This window comes from Homo sapiens, chromosome 2 (genome assembly GCF_000001405.40).
Source record: "Homo sapiens chromosome 2, GRCh38.p14 Primary Assembly".
In the NCBI taxonomy this organism is placed as follows: Eukaryota; Metazoa; Chordata; class Mammalia; order Primates; family Hominidae; genus Homo; species Homo sapiens.
The window spans coordinates 160,447,569-160,470,779 of NC_000002.12; the positions used below are offsets into that span (position 1 = coordinate 160,447,569).

Here is a 23,211-nt window from a genome sequence, read left to right on the forward strand (position 1 = left end):
TATTTACTTGTTTCTTTCCCCAGCTGAACTGTAAGTTCCTGGAGGCCAGCAATGTGGCCTTCATTTTTATACTGCTAGAATATAGTGCAGGACATTCCTGCTACAAATGTCCATTTATAGTTGAGACAGCATGAATGAGTCTTTGTCTATTCTTTCTGCAATTCCTAACTAGATTGCTAAAATGGTACTTGAAAATCCAAAGATCAAGAGATACTGCAGCATGCTCTTCTGAGTGCTGGGGGTCAAGAGATGCTACAGTAGCTCTTACACAGAATTGGATGATGCCCTTGATAACCATGGGGAAGATGCAGCCATCTCCTTTCCCCAAGACTCTGATCTGAGTCTTACTCATCACTGAATCCTTAGCACTCAGCACTCTTAAAAACGGTTGAACGAATAAATGTAAAACACTGAAAAATATTGTTATAAATAGGCTAATCAGATCATAGGCTATGTTAACTTTAATTTTCATGCCAAAAGTAACAAAATCTGATAACAGGACCAGCCATAAAATGCTGTCAAACAGTTTTTACTGGCTTATAACAATTATCTTTATATCCTTTTATAATATTGTCTATTCTTATATTCTTTCCATAATATCAGCTCTAATATATTTTAGTCTAATAATTTTTTTAGAAAGTTGTATTCATTTTTAAATAAAGTGAAATGGTAGAAATCACCTGACTACTTGGGGATTTGAAAACCATTAACTCCCCCTCCCCCTCCCCCTCCCCCTCTCCCGTCTCCCTCTTTGCACGGTCTCCCTCTGATGCCGAGCGGAGGCTGGACTGTACTGCCGCCATCTCGGCTCACTGCAACCTCCCTGCCTAATTCTCCTGCCTCAGCCTGCAGAGTGCCTGGGATTGCAGGCGCGCGCAGCCACGCCTGACTGGTTTTTGCATTTTTTGATGGAGACGGGGTTTCCCCGTGTTGGCCGGGCTGGTCTCCAGCTCCTGACCGCGAGTAATCTGCCTGCCTCGGCCTCCCGAGGTGCCAGGATTGCAGACAGAGTCTCGCTCACTCAGTGCTCGATGTTGCCCAGGCTGGAGTGCAGTGGCGTGATCTCGGCTCGCTACGACCTCCACCTCCCAGCCGCCTGCCTTGGCCTCCCAAAGTGCCGAGATTGCAGCCTCTGCCCGGCCGCCAACCCGTCTGGGAAGTGAGGAGCGTCTCTGCCTGGCCGCCCATCGTCTGGGATGTGAGGAGCCCCTCTGCCCAGCCACCCAGTCTGGGAAGTGAGGAGCGCCTCTTCCCGGCCGCCATCCTGTCTAGGAAGTGAGGAGCGTCTCTGCCTGGCCGCCCATCGTCTGAGATGTGGGGAGCGCCTCTGCCCCGCCACCCCATCTGGGATGTGAGGAGTGCCTCTGCCCGGTCGCCATCCCGTCTGGGAACTGAGGAGTGTCTCTGCCCGACCGCCACCCTGTCTGGGAGGTGAGGAGTGTGTCTGCCCGGCCACCCTGTCTGAGAAGTGAGGAGCCCCTCCGCCCGGCAGCTGCCCCGTCTGGGAAGTGAGGAGCCCCTCCGCCCGGCAGCCGCCCCGTCTGGGAAGTGAGGAGCCCCTCCGCCCGGCAGCCGCCCCCACTGGGAAGTGAGGAGCGTCTCCGCCGGGCAGCCGCACCGTCCAGGAGGGAGGTGGGGGGCAGCCCCCGCCAGGCCAGCCGCCCCATCTGGGAGGGAGGTGGGGGGCGCCTCTGCCCAGCCGCCCCGTCTGGGAAGTGAGGAGCCCCTCTGCCCGGCCGCCACCCCATCTGGGAGGTGTACCCAACAGCTCATTGAGAATGGGCCATGATGACGATGGCGTTTTTGTCGAATAGAAAAGGGGGAAATGTGGGGAAAAGAAAGAGAGATCAGATTGTTACTGTGTCTGTGTAGAAAGAAGTAGACATGGGAGACTCCATTTTGTTCTGTACTAAGAAAAATTCTTCTGCCTTGGGATGCTGTTAATCTATAACCTTACCCCCAACCCCGTGCTCTCTGAAACATGTGCTGTGTCCACTCAGGGTTAAACGGATTAAGGGCGGTGCAAGATGTGCTTTGTTAAACAGATGCTTGAAGGCAGCATGCTCCTTAAGAGTCATCACCACTCCCTCATCTCAAGTACCCAGGGACACAAACACTGCGGAAGGCCCTAGGGTCCTCTGCCTAGGAAAACCAGAGACCCTTGTTCCCATGTTTATCTGCTGACCTCCCCTCCACTATTGTCCTGTGACCCTGCCAAATCCCCCTCTCTGAGAAACACCCAAGAACGATCAATAAATACTAAAAAAAAATTAAAAAATGGGGGATGAATGGAAAGAATACCTGCCCTGCTTGGTGCTAAATGTGGCTCTCCCCTTCACCAAAGCTCATTTCTCATTTTCAGCTCTATACATCTCCAACCTGATGAGGCCACAGGACTCCCTGCTGCCCTCAGTATGACTTACAAACAAGCCCCACCTCAAGCCCACCCTCCTTCTTTTGCAGATTCCTTTCTCACCCCCTCCACTCTGCAGCATACACCCTTCACCCTGCTGACCACACCAACCATACCAGCACTTGCTGCCATCCTGAATGACAACTGCCACCTGCTGTATACCAGGCACAGAGGAAACACTCTTTTTGTGGAATCTACGAGGGGTGCTAAGCACTCTATGGGAATCACTTCATGCAATCTTCACAGTGCTGTACGCAGGTACTAACCTTGCACCCATTGGCCAGGTGCTGTGGCTCACACCTGTAATCCCAGCATTTGGGAGGCAGAGGTGGGTGGATCACCTGAGGTCAGGAATTCAAGACCAGCTTGACCAACATGGTGAAACCCCATCTCTACTAAATACAAAAAATTAGCCGGGCGTGATGAAAGGTGCCTGTAATCCCAGCTACTTGGGAGGCTGAGGCAGGAAAATCGCTTGAACCCAGAGGGCGGAGGCTGCAGTGAGCCAAGATTGCACCATTGCACTCCAGGCTGGGCAACAAAAGTGAAATTCCATCTCAAAAAAAATAAAAAATAAAAAATGAAAAAAAAAAAAAAACAAAAAACATTAACCCAGTTTGTAATAGTGGTGGTTTGTTTTGTAGATGTAGATAGAATGCCTTCTTCCTTTGGATTAAATCATTACAAGCTGAGATATCATCATTAGGAAACTGTAAAAGCAGGAAATGCTGTCTTCCTTTTCCAGTCTATAATTAAACAGGAAGATAAAGATACAGACTGAAGTAGCTCCCAAGCCAATATTTTGAAACTTGTGTTGACCTGACTTAAATACCTTACTTAATACTGTGACTGATTTTTATTAAGAAAAACAACAACAACAACAAACTCAAGTATCTAAAACTAGAAAAAGGACAGGTGCAGTGGCTCACGTCTGTAATCCCAGCACTTTGGGAGGCCAAGGCAGGAGGATCACTTGAGGCGAGGGCAACATAGTGAGACCCCATCTCTACAAAAAACTATAAAAATCAGTCAGATATAGTGCTGCATGCCTGTTGTCCCAGCTAGTTGGGAGGCTGAAGTGGGAGGATCCCTTGAGCCCAGGAGTTTGAGGCTGCAGTGAGCTGTGATGAGCACCACTGTATTCCAGCCTGGGTGACAGAGCAAGACCATGCTTCAGAAAAAAAAAAATAAATAAATAAAAACTAGAGAAAATATCATAACATGTTTATTGTCTTGATGTTTTGTATTAATTGTCAAAGAAACACTCAGGATCTCTAAATTTATCTGCTTGTGTTAAACCAATGTTTGCTCTTTGGGTGTTGGTTGTTTTGTTCAAAATATCCGTGATTAACCCTGATGAGTGTTCACCTTCCAGTGCCTTCATAGTTTTTATCTCCTTTGATAAATGAAATAAAGAAGCAACAGGTACAAAACTAATCCAAAAAAAGTATTTCCTTTACAATGTACAAGTATAATCTATATTTGGATTAAAATGTAAACATCAATAATTTATCATTTTGGTAGTAAAATAACCTTAGTGTGTTATTAGTAATTTTCAAATCTACTTAAACCCAATGCACCAGACAAAATATAGAAATAAAACGTTTAATGCAGCACTGTTTTTATTATTATTATTATTATTTTTTTGACAGAGTCTTGCTCTGTCAGTCAGGCTGGAGTGCAGTGGTGCAATCTCGGCTCACTGCAACCTCCATCTCCTGGGCTCAAGCAATTCTCCTGCCTCAGCCACCCGAGTAGCTGGGATTACAGGTGTGCGCCACCACTCCCGGCTAAATTTTGTATTTTTAGTACAGATGGTGTTTTCACCATGTTGGCCAGGCTGGTCTTGAACTCCTGACCTCAGGTAATCTACCCTCCTCGGCCTCCTAAAGTGTTGGGATTACAGGCATGAGGCACCGCGCCTGGCCAATGCAGCAGTATCTTAAAAAATCATCCTTTTATTATTTCCATCTAAGTTTTTTTTCAAATTATAAAATCTTATATTTAGGTTTTATCTATCTAATGAAAACCAAATAAAACCTGAATAAAAGCAAACTTGAACCCCTTAAAGAGGCTGTACAAAGAATTTAAGTATCAATCATGGCAGGACTAGAGTCCTTGTCATCTGGATCTCCATGGGGATGTGATCTAGTTTGAGGCCTAGAAAATCAGATCAGTTATGAGAAGGCTCTATGGAATTACTGGAACTTAGAGGAGATGGAAAAAAAAAGATACAGATTGATATGGAGGCCTCTGAGCTCCCAGGAAATCCCAAAGTCCTCATCTAAAGGTCCCAGGGCTATCATGGTGAGCTAATAAGTACAGTCATTCCTCATCCATGGGAGATGGGTTCCAGGACCCCCAGAAGACACCAAAATCCCCAGATGCTTAAGTTCCTTATATAAAATGACAAAGTATTTGCATATAACCTAGGGACATCCCCCTGTATATTTAAATGATCTCTTAATTACTTATATTAATAACACATAATACAACATAAATGCTATGTAAATAGTGGTTATACTATATTTTTTGTTGTTGTATTGTTATTCATTGTTTATTTTTAAAAATATTTTCAATCTGTGGTTGTTCAATCCATGGATGCAGAACCTGCAGATATGGAAGGCCAACTGTATTCTCTTCCAAGGTGTGCACTTTTACAGGTCAGTGCAACAGGCTTAGAATGACCTTATTACGAGAATGGTAATCAACAGTGTCAAGTGCTTGTACCACGTAATCACAAAGCTAAGCACTGGAGGGTATAGCAGAGAACAAGACAGACGTACTACCTGCTCTCACAGGGCTTACAGTCCAGCAGAGAAAACTGGCATTCATCAAACAAGTACGAGTATGATAAAAGTCTCCCAGGAGAAATTAGGAGCTTATGAGATCACATTACAGGGACTCCAGACTTGGTGAGGGAAGTGATAAGTTGTGATATTTACATTTGCTCAAGTCACTTAACCTTGTAATGCCTTAGTATCTTCATCTGTAGGATGGGGTAATAGTAGTGCTTACCTTACAGGACTCACGTAAGGATTAACAAAGCACTAACCACAGGGACAAGCACTGGATAGGTGATTGTTGTGTGTTTCTGTAACTACTGTTATGATGATGATGATGATGATGATGATGCTTATTATTACTATTACTATTGGCCTGAATAAGGAATAAAAGTTTGCCAGGCAAAAGGGAGAGAAGGGAATAGCAGGAGGAACTAGTCCAGAGAGAAAAAAAAAAATATGTGCAAAACCCTGGAGATCCAAAAGGTTGTGGTGCTTCCAGATGGACAAAATTAAGGCCTGTAAAAAAGAAATAAACTAGAGATCTCTAAAAGGGAGGATCCTTCTGGATCCTTTCCAAAAGTTTCCCCTGTCATCCTTACCATCGTAAAAGCATTTCCCCTTGACTCTGCTTTTCTTTCCACATACCATATTATGATCGTTCTTTTCTTTTTTATAATTTTCTGCATTTTCCAAATTATCCCTGTAAGCATGCATTACTTTCATAATTTAAAAAAAGAATTTTAAAAGTGATCCCTTCATTCTTTCTCTCCCCATAACAACCTAACTTCTGCCAAATTTGACTTGTATTCATTGCCCTCTTATGTCACTTCCCCCTCACTCAACAATGCATTGCCACCACTCCAGCATCATGTTTCTCAAACACAGATCTGCTCTCTCATTCCCATGCTTCAAACATTTCATGGCCTACAAAATAACACCCAAGCTCCTCAGGAAAATCACCCAAATGACCCAGAACCTACATCCAGTCTATCTTTCTCGTGTCATCTCCTACCACTCTTCTCCTTACCCACCCTTCTTCACAAGCACCCTCAGCCACACAGAACTTCTCACCAATTTCCTGAATCCAGTATATACTTTGGTGCCCCTCTACCTTAGTTCATGATAGTTTTTATGCTAAGAGTGGCTTTCCAGCCTTCTCCAGCTAACAAAATTCACTCCTCCTTCCCAACCCACTAAGTTTCAATGTCATCTCCTCTATGAACGTTTCTTCTATTCTCTCCACCTCACCCCCAAACACAAGCCCTTGTAATGACCTCTATGTTTATCTCCTGCTTATACTGAGTTCTATCAAAGTAGAAGCCATATCTACTTTACCTTTGTTGCTACATCCAGATCATATCTCAATAAATGTCTGTGTTGTTACTGTTCAAATTAAGATAATCATATAATGGTTTCTTTGAGGAAACCTCATGAGAGGTAGACTGTTTAAACTAGACATAGAAAGGATGCAAGGACAACACACCATTTCAATTATTTACTCTTTTCATGCAATGTTACATGAGTATTTACCAAGTTAGCACACAGTTACTGACTGCTTACTATTTGTGCTAGGTACACAGTTGTGAATAAGATGCTAAAGATACTAAAGAAACACACAAATAAATGCATAGTTATAAAATGCAGTAGGTGCCATATAAAGAAAGAACAGGAGACCATGAAGGATGGCAACTTTGAGGTCCTGGGGTACCAGGAAGTGCCTCTCTAAGGAAGCAACTGGAACAATGCAAAGTGAAAGTGGAGGAGGAATTAACCATGTAAAGAATGTGAGAAAGAGTGTCCCAAAAGAAGGGGAATATACTGGGAGGTCCTGAGGCAGGAAGGATCTGGGCGTGTGTAAGGAAGTGAAGGCCAGCATGCCTGGAACCCAGTGAAGAAGAGGAGTGGCGAGCCAACCTAGAACTCCTCTAAGGAGCTGGTCCTGTGAAAGAGTCTGCACTTTCTTGTAAAGGCACCAGTAAGTCACTAAGGGTTTTAGGTAGTGGGGGTGGGGCTGGGACAGTGACAGGATCAGATTAATGTTTTTCAAATATCACCATGAAATGAGCAATTGAAATTTCTTTTAGGTAGAATTACTAGTGAGATGGAAAAGTTCTCCATTTATTTGATTTTTCAGTATACTTAGTATAATAATTATTTGAACATCCATCAGTAAACATTATATTCAGTCAAATATTTGTCTCTGATCATTCTTAAAAGTTAAATTCAAACCACCTCTGTAGCTGTCTCTCTTTCTCTGAATCGTATACTTCAGGTACACAAAGTTACAATGCAGATCCTGGTTCCTAGAATGCCACATTATACATGCCATTAAATGTTTAATCAGAACTATCATTCCAAAAAGTTTAAAGCCTCTTTTCAAGAAAAAGACCGGTATCTGATGTCAATTGAAACTCAATTTTTTCATTTTTACTTCAGTTGAAAACCTGGCCTTTTCTACCTGAGCTGATGCTTTATAAATGGCAATATAAGACATGGTACAGGCTGTTATTTTTGTTTGTTTAGAAATGTCACACTCCTCTCTGTTGCGAACAAATGTGCTCAAGTTACAATTATGTCAGAAAAAGTAGATACCATGCAGTATCATTTTTTAGAATGTGCTTGTGACATTTTGTTAAACCAAGAGAAATGTTACAACTAGAAAGGGTGAGAAGAAAGAAGAAGATAAATATAATTGCAGACTGAACAAAAATGAACAGGAACACACTTGCACACTTCAGTTTATTAACTGTGGCTGGCAAGCAGTCATGCTGCATGGATACTATTTACTGCTTGGGAGGAAAATTGTGAACCTGCCTGGAGAGGACACCAAAGGAATATCCAAGCCAAGGAAAGAAAGAGAAGGGAGAGAAAATTATAACCATCACATACAATGTAATATAAACTCCATTCCCAAGCTTTTTTTTTTTTTTTTTTGAGACGGAGTCTCGCTCTGTCGCCCAGGCTGGAGTGCAGTGGCGCGATCTCGGCTCACTGCAAGCTCCGCCTCCCGGGTTCACGCCATTCTCCTGCCTCAGCCTCCCGAGTAGCTGGGACTACAGGCGCCCGCTACCACGCCCGGCTAATTTTTTGTATTTTTAGTAGAGACGGGGTTTCACCGTGTTAGCCAGGATGGTCTCGATCTCCTGACCTCGTGATCCGCCCGCCTCGGCCTCCCAAAGTGCTGGGATTACAGGCGTGAGCCACCGCGCCCGGCCCATTCCCAAGCTTTTTATGGGCAGTGATTTATCCATGATAAAAGCAATATTTGGAAAATCAGTGAAAGAAAAAGAAATACAGATCAAACAGGGGAGCAGAGAGCAAGGACCTACAGGCAATGTGAAAAGAGTGGAACTAATAATTTCAGGAAAAAACAAACAAACTTAAAAAGGTAAAATAGTAGTTGTAACATTGATAATACCACCACCAATAATAGAACCTAATGTATTTAGCACACACTACATGTTAGGTACTGTGCTAAGTGCTTTCTATGGTTTGTCTGATTTAAACCTCTTACCAGCTATAGGGTGAGTCGTCTTTTTCTTTCCACTGGAAAGATGAGGAAATTGCTGTTCAATCCAATGTCAGGAAGCTAAAAGGTGTACGTGAAGTCATCTGGCACTTTTGCAAAGGAATTCTAGGGAAGTTTTTTTATTATTTTTAATCTAGATAATTAAGGCTTAAATAAAATACAGTATAGATTGTTACCTTACTCCTTCTAATGGAAAGTTTTCTAAGCCATATTGTAAATTTTCCTTCTCTTCTAAACACAATACCTTGAGCATAATTTAAAGTTCCCTTAATAATTCACAGTAGACTGAGCATAATTTAAACATTAGCTATCATGCTCTACTGTAAAACAGCCTCCAAGCTGCTAAGATATGTAAGGATGATTTGTTCCTTCACCACATGGAAGCTGAATGCTCTCCTGAGCTGTTCCTATTTCTTATATTTTGACTGTCTGTTCCCTCACTGCCAAGTGATCCACTCTCCAGCAGCAATGTGACCTCCCCTTCTTCCAATTTGGCTTCTTCTCCAGCCTCCCCTTGAGCCACCCACTGCCGGCTGAATTCCAATCAGTTCAATTCAATACATTTTTCACAAAGTCTACTTTGACCTGTACTTGTTCTCTGTGGGCTATTTTATCAACAGTGATAGTAGAGATAGTGTGCCAAATCAAACAAACAACAACAAAAAACCTGGCACTTCTTTTCTAATAAACTTCAGCTAGCCAGATATGAGGGACTTTGTATATCTTATTAGAGGCTGAAAAGATTGACAGGCCTGTGAATTAGCAGTAGTATCCTCATTTTATTTTATTTATTATTTATTATGTTTATTTTATTTTTATTTATTTAATTAATTTATTTATTTATTTATTTTTGAGATGGAGTCTTGCTCTGTCGCCCAGGCTGGAGTGCAGTGGTGCGATCTCAGTTCACTGCAACCTCCCCCTCCTGGGTTCAAGTGATTATCCTGCCTCAGGCTCCCGAGTAGCTGGAATTACGGGAATGCACCACCACGCCCAGCTAATTTTGTATTTTTAGTAGAGACAGGGTTTCTCCATGTTGGTCAGGCTGGTCTCTAACTCCCGACCTCAGGTGATCTGCCTGCCTCAGCCTCCCAAAGTGCTGGGATTACAGGCGTGAGCCACCGCGCGGTATCCTCATTTTGAAAGGAGTAAACTGAGGCTCTCACAGCTGGTAAGTAGCAGAGCTGAGATTTGAACATGGTCTTTCTGATTCATGTTTCACTGCCATAAATGGTGTGGGAGAAAGGAAACACAACCATTTCTTGCAGAACTAATGGCTTCAAGAAATAGCTACAATTTGCTTTATGTATTTGCTGTATGGCAAGTATTGGATAATATTACAGATTCATATTGAAATGATACCACCATGAAAGATGATCTTACAATTTGATAAGGATTCAGAGCACAGACCAGAGATTGCTAAATAGGCAACATACAATATGTGATCAGCTGGGGAGGGCTGCCTATGCACTAACAGGTGCCAGCTTGAAAGTCGCACTTTCACACATCGTGTGACTTTCTCGGTGATTTCCTGGCATTCTCGGGTGCAGCTCACTACTTTTGAGGCAGATTATTGCGTGAGGGCAAAACAAATATGCAAAAAATAAAGGTTTCTCTGACTCATTTTTAAAATTTATTTTTGGGGTTATTGGTTTGTTTGTTGTTGTTGTTGTTGTTGTTGTTGTTGTTTTGAGACAGTGTCTCACTGTGTCACCCTGGCCGAGTGGTGTGATCATTGCTCACTGCAGCCTCAACCTCCTGGGCAAAAGTGATCCTCCCACCCCAGCCTCCTGAGTAGCTGGGTCCACAGGTCCTTGCCAGCACACCCAGCTAATATTTTTATTTTTCATAGAGATAGAATCTCACTTTGTTGCCCAGGCTGGTCTTGAACTCCTGGCCTCAAGTGATCCTCCTGTCTGGGCTTCCCAAAGTGCCGGGATTACAGGCACCAGCCATGGCATCTGGCCTAAAACTGTCAATATCTAAAAAAACAGATCCAGAAACTTGCCACGGAAACTATTTTCAATGTCAAATTACATTTGAAAGCATTTTCTTCCCAATTCACTCATATTTAAAGTTACTTAAATCTTTACACAGGATAGAGAGGTCTTCACATGGCAACCACACTCCACAAAACTTCCTCAGATCTGTAGTAAAAATTGTTGGTCACATCTTGGTTTCCTGGATGTCAGAAAACACTAACTAAAAGAAATTGCCAGGCCGGGCACGGTGGCTCACACCTGTAATCCCAGCACTTTGGGAGGCCAAGGCGGGTGGATCACCTGGGGTCAGGGGCTTGAAACCAGCCTGGGCAACATGGTAAAATCCCATGTCTACTAATGATACAAAAATGAACTGGGCGTGGTGGCGCATGCCAATAATCGCAGTTACTCCAGAGGCTGAGGCAGGAGAATCACTTGAACTCGGGAGGCAGAAGTTGCAGTGAGCCGAGATCGTGCCATTGCACTCCAGCTTGGGTAACAGGAACAAACTCTGTCTCAAAAAAAAAAAAAAAATCTCCAAAGTAACTTTTTAAACATGAAGGCCAATAATGTAAACTATATGCACAGTTATGGAGAAATGGCTTACTGGATGGGGCGGGCCCTTACACTGCATTCACTTTAGATGCACACAGCCCTTATGTGCTGCTTTGACTTTTCTGTAGCCACAAATCAGAAGTGCTCAAGCAAAAATCGCATGAGCTCAAATAGTTCCTTAGTTCAGGCAGCACCTTGAGGATACTGTTTTGGAGAAAAGACCTAATACCCATCATACAGTCTAATCATTTTTTGTGATGCAATTGTTTTGAGATTGTTTGGGTTAGGGTCGGTCTCTATTTATGTTCCAAATAATCCCGTTAATAGATGGTTTTCATTCATGTAAATTCATGCTTTATTTGTCTCATTTCTAGCACTGGCATATTTATTCCTACTTCCCATAAGTATCTACTATTTAGAGAAAACACTGGGTGGCTTCCCGAGTACGTGACATTTAATTTCATGTTAGAAAAATAAACAGGACACCACACAAAGTACTATCATTCTTTCTGCTTCTAAGATTTACATTTAAAATGCTTTTACTTGATCCTCCATGATCTTTTTAATAGCGCAAATTCTTAAAAGATTAAATATATTTTGGGGAAACTTTTAAATCCTTAATTCTTAACAGCATATTTCAAATAACTGAAAGTGATACACATGTTAATCTTTTAAAATTTCAAGCAGAAGTATAAACCAACATAAGCATTGTGTTTCTGACCTATTTAAAAAACGTTTTCCTCTTTCTCCTCCACATTTATCATTATTAACTGTTGACCAAAATCATGTATTATTTCACATGTTACATGGTTAATCTTATTGCCTCCAGTGACCAGGAGGTATTTTATGACCAAAGTTCTCAATAAATAATTTACTCCACTTTTCCATTACTTAGAAAGTAATGTTTCACAATAGGGCCTGACACTAATACTCCAAGCATAGCCACTGATTTACTAAATAGATGATCTAAGGTCTAATGCACCTATCTTCTTTCTAAGAGATCAGTTCATCAATATTGATTGAAACCAATGTGCACAAAAGTATATATTAGGAACACAGGAACTTCCTCTAAACACCACTTAACTTCAAGCCTAAGCCTGCTGAGCCAGGGGAGGATTTATGACTTTTCCTACACCAGCATCATTAATTGGGGAAAATTCTTAATTACAATCTAACACACAATTCAATCCATTAACCTTGTAGATAAGTTAAAACTAACCTCTGGGCCCACAGAAGGCAGATGCTCCCTGAAGCAGGTGATGGCTCCACTCCTCCCCCAGTGGTTGTCCTTACCCAAAGCAAGGCAATCAAGGTGAATGCCCTGATTCTGGTCATAACTTTGAAGAGGCATCTGCTTTTTGCTTTTTGTGGGGAATAGGGAGTTGAGGGCATTCAATGACTCTGAAAGGCACCAAGTCAGAGGAACAGGAGGAGAAGCAGGTGGTGAGCAGCCTGGGTGCCTTCACCACTCAGCATGTCACCATGAGGTAAGGGAATCAACACATATCACACACACACCTCAATCCAGGGGCTTTGCAGATGACAATATATTTAATCCTGGCAACAGCTCTGCAAAGTCAGCATCGTTTCCCCAGTTTTGCAGATAAGGACACTGTGGTTCAGAGAGACTAGCAGTCTCACGTAAGGTCACGCAGGACAACTGTGATATGACCACAGGTCAGTGGGGTGTGACCACAGGTTATCAGCTAGCTAGTTACCAGGGGAAGGGAGTCCTGGCTCTGCCACTACACAACAGTGCCTGCTTCCTTTTCTAACACAGGCCATTGGACAACCTGTTGCTTTTCCGCAATTTCCTCTCTGGCTGTTTTGCTTCTTTTTAATGATGCCCTTGAGTCAACTTATTCTGATTTCACTAATATATCTTATTCTGATTTCACTGATATATCTTATTCTGGTTTCACTAATATAACCATATTGAATGGCGAGGTAGAAGAAAGGATGTGTGTTTTCTCCCCAGTCCCTAAGCTCTGTGAGAAACATCCGTGCCCTCAACCTCCCTTTTCCTATGATCTTGTAAGACATACAGCATCCTCTTGTCATCTCCGTCCTTCATCTAGTCTACAATAATAAGAGTTAAATGAGCAATAAAACTTAATATTATCCCTCCTAGAAAAGGTGTTCTTGCTGGGTAAGGTGGCTCACGCCTGTAATCCCAATACTTTGGGAGGCCAAGGCTGGAGGATCACTTAAAGCCGGTAGTTTGAGACCAGTCTGGGCACACAGCAAGACCCCATCTCTTAAAAAAATTATCCAGGTATGGTGTTGCATGCCTGTGGTCCCAGCAACAAAGGGACTGAGGTGGAAGGATCACTTGAGCTCAGGAGTTCAAGGCTGCAGTGAGCTATGATTGATCCAATGCACTTCAGCCTGGGCAACAGAGCAAGACTCCATCTCGAAAGAAAGAGAGAGAGAGAGAGAGGGAGAGAAAGAAAGAGAGAAAGAGAAAAGAAAGAAAGAAAGAAAAAATATGCTCTTTTGAAAAAATCAATAATAATTCTCTGATGAAAAGAATAAGGAGAAAATGGTGGCATTTCAAGCATCTGAGTGAGAGGCAGGGTGGCCGTGGCCTTGCCTGAAGTTCTTCACTTTAATTCCAGTAAGTGGAGGGACAGGAATGACTTCCTGTCCCTTTCATTTCATTTTTGTAAAGTCAGCGCAACAGTCACTGAGGGCAAGAGCCTGCACCTTCATCACCTCTGGAAGGAAAGCTGCGGTTGGCTGGTCCAGCTTCGGGAGCGCTATAGGCCAAGCATGTGTGCAGGCCTGCAAAGGCTGCAGAAGATACCCCAGCTGGGCTCACACCCATCACTGCCACTCACCGCTGCCTTCCTCTTTGCGTTATAACCTCCACTTTCACTGCTCTGTACTCCATTTGGCTCACACAAGTATTTGCCTACAGCTAACAATTCAGAAATTCTTCACAAATACACATTTCCAGTAGAAAATAATAGGAGATCATAGCAAGGAGAGAGAGTTTCGTTGCCCTTGGACTTGCTGGTTATTTTCTTTTAGGCATTAGCCATTGAAGTGGCCATTTGCTTCGTTGTAAAACAATCCCTCAGGCTTGCAGACTGTCGAGTAGAATCATTATTGCCATCTTCTTGATTTAATAATTTCAATCAATATTCAGTTTTCTATGATAATGGAAGGCAAGTGGCAGAGCAGATAGCCCTGAACAACAGACAGCACAAGAGTTATTACTATTGTTTTCAGCTAGTGGATGCCTCACAGGCTCTTCACCAATTTCCTTTCCAAGTTCTCCTTTGCTTAGCTCAACGGGCCCCAAACTTGGATGTGCATCAGATTCACCAGGGCGAGGGTATTCAAGTGACCTGACAACCTGTTGCCTTGTGAGAAAAACCAATCTGTTTTGTGCTATTTATCACAAATAACTGGCAAGTGGACACTCAAGCATTTGACCATGCTTAGTATAAGGACACAATGCCTGCCCTCTGCTCTGTCTTATGCCTTTTGCCCAAGATTTCTAGGTAGCAGCCCTGAGCAGGCCTTTAATGTTAACATATGACACCAGTCAAATTAGGGCAGAAAAGGAAGGAGGTGAAGAAAGAAGAAAAGGTGCTATTTTGTTGAAAAAGCACAGTGAGTGGTATCTGGGTGGAAGACTTTAAACCTAGGCGGTTTTTGAGATTCTAGTACTGGGTAAGTAGAAATAATACTCTGAACAAGAAGAATATTTGGCAAGAGGAATAGAAACTTTAAGCAAAAGATATGGAACATCATATTAGCCATAGTCATTTCTTTCTTTTTTTTGAGATGGAGTTTCACTCTTGTCACCCAGGCAGGAGTGCAATAGCGCAATCTCGGCTCACTGCAACCTCTGCCTCTCGGGTTCAAGCGATTCTCCTGCCTCAGCCTCCCGAGTAGCTGGGCACCCCCATGCCCAGCTAATTTTTGTATTTTTAGCAGAGATGGGGTTTTACCATGTTGGCCAGCTGGTCTCGAACTCCTGACCTCAGGTGATCCACCCGCCTCGGTCCCCCAAAGTGCTGGGATTACAGGCGTGAGCCACAGCACCTGGCCAGCCAAAATCATTTCTAAACTTAGATAGACATTTCAGTTAAAGAATGAAACCCCAAAAAGAATGGAAGAGATGGGAAGTTAGAAGGCAGTCTAACATTTGTTATTTACAGTATACATGAAAGGAAAATCATAGCAAGGAAATGGGCTCTTCCTGCAGAACTGAGAAGAAAATGGAACCCGCTGTCAAGAGAAGAAAGAAAAAAAAAATGTTATCCATAAAATTAGCCAGATGCTTTTTCTTACCCTTCTGACAAAACCAGGTTTCATTTCTGCCAAAAGTAGTTTTCACATAAAAGAAATGATAACCTGTTCTAGAAAAAAGAGGTTCAAAAAGATGTTCAGAGTGGTCAGGATGGTTAATCCAATAACTGTGAAAGCTGATTCTTACTCACTTAAGCTATTAAATCCAGAACCTTTCAGTAGATATCTACTTTCATTTTATAACATGCCTCTCAAAAAACATCAATTCAGGCTGATACAAGACTAAGTATTTAGGGCTGAAAATGATAATGATGTAGTCTTTTCAACCAGGATTGTAATCAGGAGGGTGAGCCACCGGCCCTTTCAGAATGAGACGCACTTCAGTGAGTTCAACAGCAACTTTGCGGCCGGGCGCGGTGGCTCAGGCCTATAATCCCAGCACTTTGGGAGTTGCGAGGCAGGTGGATCATCTGAGGTCAGGAGTTCGAGACCAGCCTGGCTAACATGGTGAAACCCCATCTCTACTAAAAATACAGAAATTAGCCGGGCATGGTGGCAGGTGCCTATAATCCCAACTACTCAGGAGGCTGAGGCAGGAGAATCGCTTGAACCCAGGAGGCAGAGGTTGCAGTGAGCTGAGATTGCACCATTGCACACCAGCCTGGGTGACAAGAGTGAAACTCCGTCTCAAAAAAACAAAACAGCAGCTTTGATGGAGAGCAACAAAGGCAATTTAACTTTATGTCTCCTATTTCATTCCATGGCTGTTCTCTTTTTTCATTCACAAGTGTTTTGTTTATTATGTGGTCTGTCTTTCTCTATGGTTATGAAAAGGAATTTGAATTTTGTGAAATTAAATGCAGTTAAGCCACCTACGATGAACTTAAAAAAACACACATACACAAAACACTATTTTACTAACTAAATGCCAAAGCCTTTTAAAAGAAGTATGGAGCAAAGTGCTCTCCTATATGCCAGTGGAAGGATAAATCAAGACATCCCCTTCAGGAAACACACACCATGCCACACCACGACTCCCCACTCCACTTGCAGACACATGTCTCAGAGAATTTACCACACATGCATACAGAGATCCACACAGGGATGGGCACCATGACATATCTGTAACTGGAAAAACCAGCAACAGCTTACATCATCAAAAAGTAAACAGTTCAGCAAATTATGATATAATTAAAAAACAGAAAACTACTATGCAACAAAATGAATAAAATAAGACATTTCTCAAAAACAATGCTGCATGAAGAAAACTGCGGAAGGATACATAGATTGTGACATCATAAATGTAGATTTAAAAACATAAAATACAGTTGTACGTATTTTTTATTAACATACAAAAATGTAGGAAAAGTGTGCATATTAAGAGTAGACTTGAAATTCATGGTGAGAGGTGCCTCTGAGGAAGAAAGGCAGGCAATATTTTCTTTTATTAAAAAGAAAAAAGGAGGTAAAGCATATGGTCAATATTGTAATCTGTTAACACTATCAGGTGGTTATATTGGTATCTTTTATATTGTCCTCAGCAGCTTTTTGAATATTAAGTTACTTTTTAAATATTGTGTAACTTTCACTATTTTCCATTTAAAAGTCACACATTTTCTTGAGTTCATTCAATTGCCCATTTACTTATGCATTTGACAAATATCTATTGAACATGTCATTAATCCTAGGATGTGAAGAGTTAAGAAAATATTCTTGCCCTTGCAAGAACCACATGAAATGGACTAATTCTTATTTAAGAATCCTGTCATATTCTGTAAGTAGGTTTCTGTACACCATAAGGAAGGATTTCCACTAGGTTTGATATTGTCCAAGAATAATTGCAATGTGCTTATTTACAGAATAGTATGCTACTGTAGTTCCATAAATAAAATGGTCAATATTTATCTTTATCTTCTTGTCAAGAGTTTTTATTAAAGGGCATCTAAGCAAATGAATCTTGAGGATGTTCCAAAGTGAGTTATCATCAAATAATCACCATGACAAAAAGTCAAATAAGCTAATCTTTCTTTGAAGGTTTTCCAAAGAGACAGATTAATTGGCCAACCTGTCACCATTAATGACAAAAGCATGTGATGTGGTGTAACTTGTATTTGGCATAGTCATTATGATTGTACTTCCAACATCTTATGACGCAATTCTCTAGAAATTCAAGATTAAGTGTTTGGTTCATCCTATCTCTAAGGTAGCCACCAATAGTCTTTGCATAACAAATATCAACAACTATACTGAACAAAAAAATCAAACAGTACTCGATATTGTTGGCTAACTCTAACATTGCTCCTGCCCAACTCAATCCTACATTTTTTATTCAGATTTTTTGTTTGATAAAAGAAGCACCGCTTTTTTGGTCATCACATGTCAGCCCTCAGGCTTTCAGGCTACCTAAGTATCTCTTACTCTCAGAGAAGTACTCTAGATCTTACTCAGGTAAGAAAAGGTCAGACACTAACCAGGTTACAACCAATCTCAGGAGTAAGGAACCCCAGCATTGAATCATTAAAGCAGGCCTGGCACAGGAACCAAGCCGGAGGACTGTGGGGCAGAATCTTCTCTTCTCTCTAGGGCCTTCTCCTGAGTGTTCTCAACAGTTACCAAAGCTCAGAGCAGAGCTCATCAGATTACGAAACTGATTCAGATCATCTAAGCCTATGCTTGGGTCTGATCAAGAAACAGGCAACAAAACTCCAGGTACAAAGGGGCTTTGGCAGAGCTACACCCTCCCCACACCACACACACACACACACACATACACACACACACACACACACACACTCTCACATTTCTAGAATTTCAATCTTTACATAGTAGTTAAGAATGTCATCTAACTTCCACACAGCCTCCCTGTCATGATAATTCTAACACTTATCAGAAAAGTGTTTATTATTTTAAAATGTATCTATGTATGACTATCATATGGAATATACACACAAAGTGTTTTAAGTGTTTTATTGTACTTTTATTGCAATTTATTACCATCTCAAGTGAGTTACATTATGTCTGCCAATCATACCTATAAAAACCAAAGCTCCTAAAATCATTGTTTTATGACATTAAATGTATTCAATAAATTATATGGTACTGATATATTCTAGAGATTCTATATTCTGCCAATCATGCCTATAAAAACCAAAGCTCCTAAAATCATTCTTTTATGGCATTAAATGTATTCAATAAATTATACGGTACTGATATATTCTAGAGATTCCTCTGAATATAACAAAATATAAATATAAAATATTGTTTGCTTTCAATTGATGCTTTGCCAAACTCTAGTTAAAGAGGAAAAAACCCTCTAAATTAGACATCCATGTGAAAATGAGACACCAAGCAGATGTCAGGCTAATTTTAAGATTTTTAAATTTGAGAATTGGAACAGTGAAGTCCTCAGCTTTTGTTTTTATCTGAAATACTCATTTCTCAAATGTTAACACAGTAACAGAAAGCCAACATGTACACAACACACACAAAAACAAAAACAGAACAAAATTAAAGCCCAAATCTCAAGTTCCAGAACCCACACCTATGATGCCATCGTTTGCTGTATCTGCTTTTAGTTGACTTCTTTACAGTTTTGATCTTTATTGTGGATAAGTAACTTAAGTGAACCTAAAAGGAGATAAAGAAAAACAAAAACAAAAAGCTAAGTGAAGCTCTGCTTCAAGGGAAGCAGTGAGGTGGAGTGAAAACAGTGACTTTGAAGTGTGACGGAGGTTTCAAATCCTGGCTCAACTCCTTACCTGCCATATGACCTTGGGCAGTTGCTTCACCTCTGTGAACCCCAGCCTCCTCTTATGTAAAATGGGATGATAATAATTATTTGCTACAGTTGTTGATAAAATAATTTCTTAAAGTGCCTGACAATAGTAGGCAATAAATAAATAAATGTTAACTAATTGTCTTCTCCTTGTCTCTTTTCCCAAACAAGATGCGAATTATCCAGGGAGAGAGCATTAGGAAAGTGAGCAACACTATGGAAGGAGAGAAATGCATAGAATGTTACCCAGTGAAGACTATAAGTCAGGAGGACATTCTAGTCTGCACATGATAACAAAAAGATGGGCGTTCCTGCAGATCATATGGGGGTAAAAAGAAAAAAAAAAAAAGGTGGGCACGGACCAACTGCTGTGAGGAATGCAAAATGAACGCAGCTGACCAGTAAGTGTACAAGGTGAAAGCCTAGCCACAAAGGAGAAGAAAGTTCATTTAGTGAGAGCCAAGGAGAAGAACCAGGATTTCTGATTAAACACCACTTGGATTCCTAGTCTTATCGCCTGAGTGCCATCTCTAAGTGAACCTTATGCACAGCAAGGAACAGTGACGAAAGAAACTACAGCCAAGTTTGTTTCCCAAACGTCAGAGAGGTTTAGCAGAAATAACACTGTGAAGACATGGTCATCTAGACTTACTCATAATTTTCAATGTATGAGAGCACCACAACCATCTTCCATACAAAATAAGCTTTTTGGTCCCACTGGCAGTCAACAAGGCAAAACCTGTCTGGGCTTTCAAATGTCATGGATCAGCTGGATATATAGCAACATAAACAAGTTTTCATCAGGTCTAAAATGCCATCAACAGTAGGATACACCATTAGTCTATGTACCACTAATAAATTTTTTAAATGTTCCAAAATGAAGAGTCTGACAGAAGACTGCTACAGAAAACTGAGACACCAAAGGGTCACATTTTCTAGGGAAGGGCTAACAAGAAATAAACTTGCCATGCTGAAAGAAACAGCAAGTAGACATGTATATCTCAAGCTTGGGACCAGCTGAAGAAAAAAAAAAATCTCTGAGAATGCAAACTGCCAACTGGTACTGCATCCACACAACCAGTGTGGTACAAGAAAACCTCAAGCAGGTAATTTAATATCAAGCAGTCTCAGATTGGTAGTGTCCCTGAATGGCTATCACAAGCAAACACAAATCTCCTCTGAAGAGCTTGACTCTAATCCAGGCTGATGACCCACTGAAACATGCCATCAAATGTAAGACACACCCCAACTTCAGGGATGTTAAAGAATGGGGAGGAAAGGTGTGCATTAGAATTAAAGAAATGTAGTAGCCATTTTCCTAAAAGAATAAGGTGATATTATATATATGGGTCTGGGTCACTCAACAAATATTTATTAGTGGGTATCCACTACATGAGTAACAAAGGTTTCAAAGAAATTGAAGGCACGACCCCTGCTCACAAGTGGCTCATTAACAATATCTCTGAGAACATGGATTCATGTTTCTATCTGATTTAGTTTTGGACTGTTTGCCAACATGGTTATGGCACAGTTACAAAATGGTTAGACAGGTAAATGCACCCTGCTCCAATCTTGAGTAGGCGTTTTTACTGCCTAGCATTGGAAGTTTATCTATGAAAAGTCAGCCTTAATATAAGTAAACTTATTTTCATTCCTTCAATTTCAACAAAAAACATACAATCTATTTTCTGATTACTTTGATTAGCTTTCACTCAAACTAATAGTATTATGTACAGTATGTGGGACAGGTAAATTTGATCATTTGGTTAAAATGTATAGATTAAGTAGATATTATTAACTTCTATTTGGGGCAGGAAAGTTTGAGGTAACTTCATCTTGAAGGCTTTTAAAAAATCTACAATGTAAGACATCATTAAAGTAATTTGTATCCATTAATTCAACTTTGAAAAGTGAACATATATTTTGGTCAAGAGAGATTCAAACTCTTGCATGAAAGGAAGTATCAGGGGTTAGCTAAATCATGGCTCACAGAAAATATTATTTGTTAGCATTAGTTTTGCCTTTACCCATGGATAGGGCTACCTGTGTTAGAATTATTATATATACATATGCCAAAACCCAGCCCCAGAGGACCCTTCAACACAGTCTCTAATGCCATTTCTTGGGAAATGTTCTGTTACCATCATCTAAAAGAATACAGGTTTCCCCTCCAAAGACAGAGCCACTTGGATTCATGCCTTTGTACTTTTCTTGGAATACCCTCATCCCTGATTTGGGTCCTGGTAACTGTTTACAAGAAAACACAAAGAGAATCTTAGGAAATAAACTACATACAAATTAGACATATCATAGGTGCCCTTTCAAATTCCACATGGTCTGGCTCATCTTTACACATTAAATCATTCTTTCATTGCACTTGCAATCTCTTTTCTGAGTTTACCCTCGTTTTCAACCTTAACTCAAACCAGCGTCCTGTCCTCTTTGTCAGAGAGGCAGGACAGGACCCAGAGCTTCCCGCCTGGGGCTGTTTCTCATCTCTTTGGTTCTTGTTGCCACCCAGCCCTGACTCCAGGCTTCCCTGGAGTCCGCCCACACAAGGTGTCTGCAACTCGGGGCTGCAGGGCCTTGAGAGCTTCCAACCATTCTCTAAATGTGTTGTTTCTTTAGTGGGTTCTAATTTCTTCTCAGTTGGCTAACACTCTGCAAGAATCACTATCCAACGCTTTCTAGTTTCCCATCTTGGTACCCACCTCTCCACAGACCCTTTTCTTCAGGGAGTCACTACCCTCAGCATTTCTACCCAGACCTTCTGTTTCCTCTCAGGACTTTATTGGTATTCTGTAACTAACTCTCAAACAAGCGTATCAACGCAGAAATGATTCTGGGGAAGTACCCAAAGAGCTGTCATGAGATAACATAGAATTACAGGGCAGACTCATTCTGGAATGTAAGTTGGAAAGAGGTTAACAGATTTCAAAAAGCTGAAATAAAATAAAGGAGACGAAAAGTTGACCTCGTAATGAATAGACACAACAGTGAAAATCAGGGAGGGGCTAGAAATTTCTGAAAGGAGGAATGATAAAGAAGATTCTTAATAAAAAATGTCTGGCCTGTACTGGCAACATCTGAAGCCTTATGCTGGTAACTAGGATTTCATTGAGTATGGTACTCCAGAGCCAAGACAGTAAAACTGCACAGATATATTTTTAAACCCATGAGGCTGTTGTGTGGGTGTAGATGTAAAAGAAAAACAAATGCAAGCTGGTGTTCTGCTTGGAACAGCTCCACATCACACTCCCCAATATTATTCTATAAACCCAATTTATTTTTACTTCCTAGCGTATGTTAATTATCTGTATTATAGAGTTTTTCGATTGTCAGTAGAAAACAACAACATTATTTACTTCTCACAGTACACAGGTATTTTCCTGATTATATGAAAAAGTATAACATTTATAAATTAAATTTATTCTATTTATCAACCACATCAATTTGTTGTCCTCTTCCTTTTTCCTATTACTTACTCTAACATAAAATATGTTCATACTTATCTATGTTTTATATTTTAACAATAGTGATTTGCATACATATAAATTTTCTAGAACAGTGCCCATCACATGGTAAATATTTAAAAATGTTACCTGTAATCACTATCATTACTATCGTTATTGTTAATAACAATGTTCCTTATTATAGTAAATTCTATCATAGTCTATACCTGCCAGGAAATTCCTACAGCTATGCAAGATGGATGTTGCCTCATCCATAGAACATTTTTTATCTTTCCTGGACAGAAATTAGGTCTATTTCTCTAGTTTTTCTGCAGATCTCTCTCCTGATACCATCCGTGGCCCTCATCTTAGATTGTTAATGTCTGTTTACTATATTCTATTTCCTGTATCAGACTGTACTGTACTCGCTCTCAGAGTGGGGGGGGTATGACCAAC

At 41.0% G+C, this 23,211-nt stretch overlaps 1 protein-coding gene across 3 annotated transcripts in view, besides 1 other annotated feature; it reads right to left on the reverse strand.

Annotated features, from left to right (window-relative positions):
• Positions 1-23,211, reverse strand: part of RBMS1 (RNA binding motif single stranded interacting protein 1) — a 221,657-nt gene that overhangs the window by 175,418 nt on the left and 23,028 nt on the right. The gene's annotated exons all lie outside the window — the stretch shown is intronic.
• Positions 1,512-2,319: an enhancer, noted in NCBI's record as "NANOG-H3K27ac hESC enhancer chr2:161305591-161306398 (GRCh37/hg19 assembly coordinates)". NCBI's record gives its function as "activates a minimal SCP1, AML or CMV promoter by ChIP-STARR-seq in primed H9 embryonic stem cells {active_cell/tissue: H9 hESC(primed)}" and the evidence as "EXISTENCE:reporter gene assay evidence [ECO:0000049][PMID:30033119]".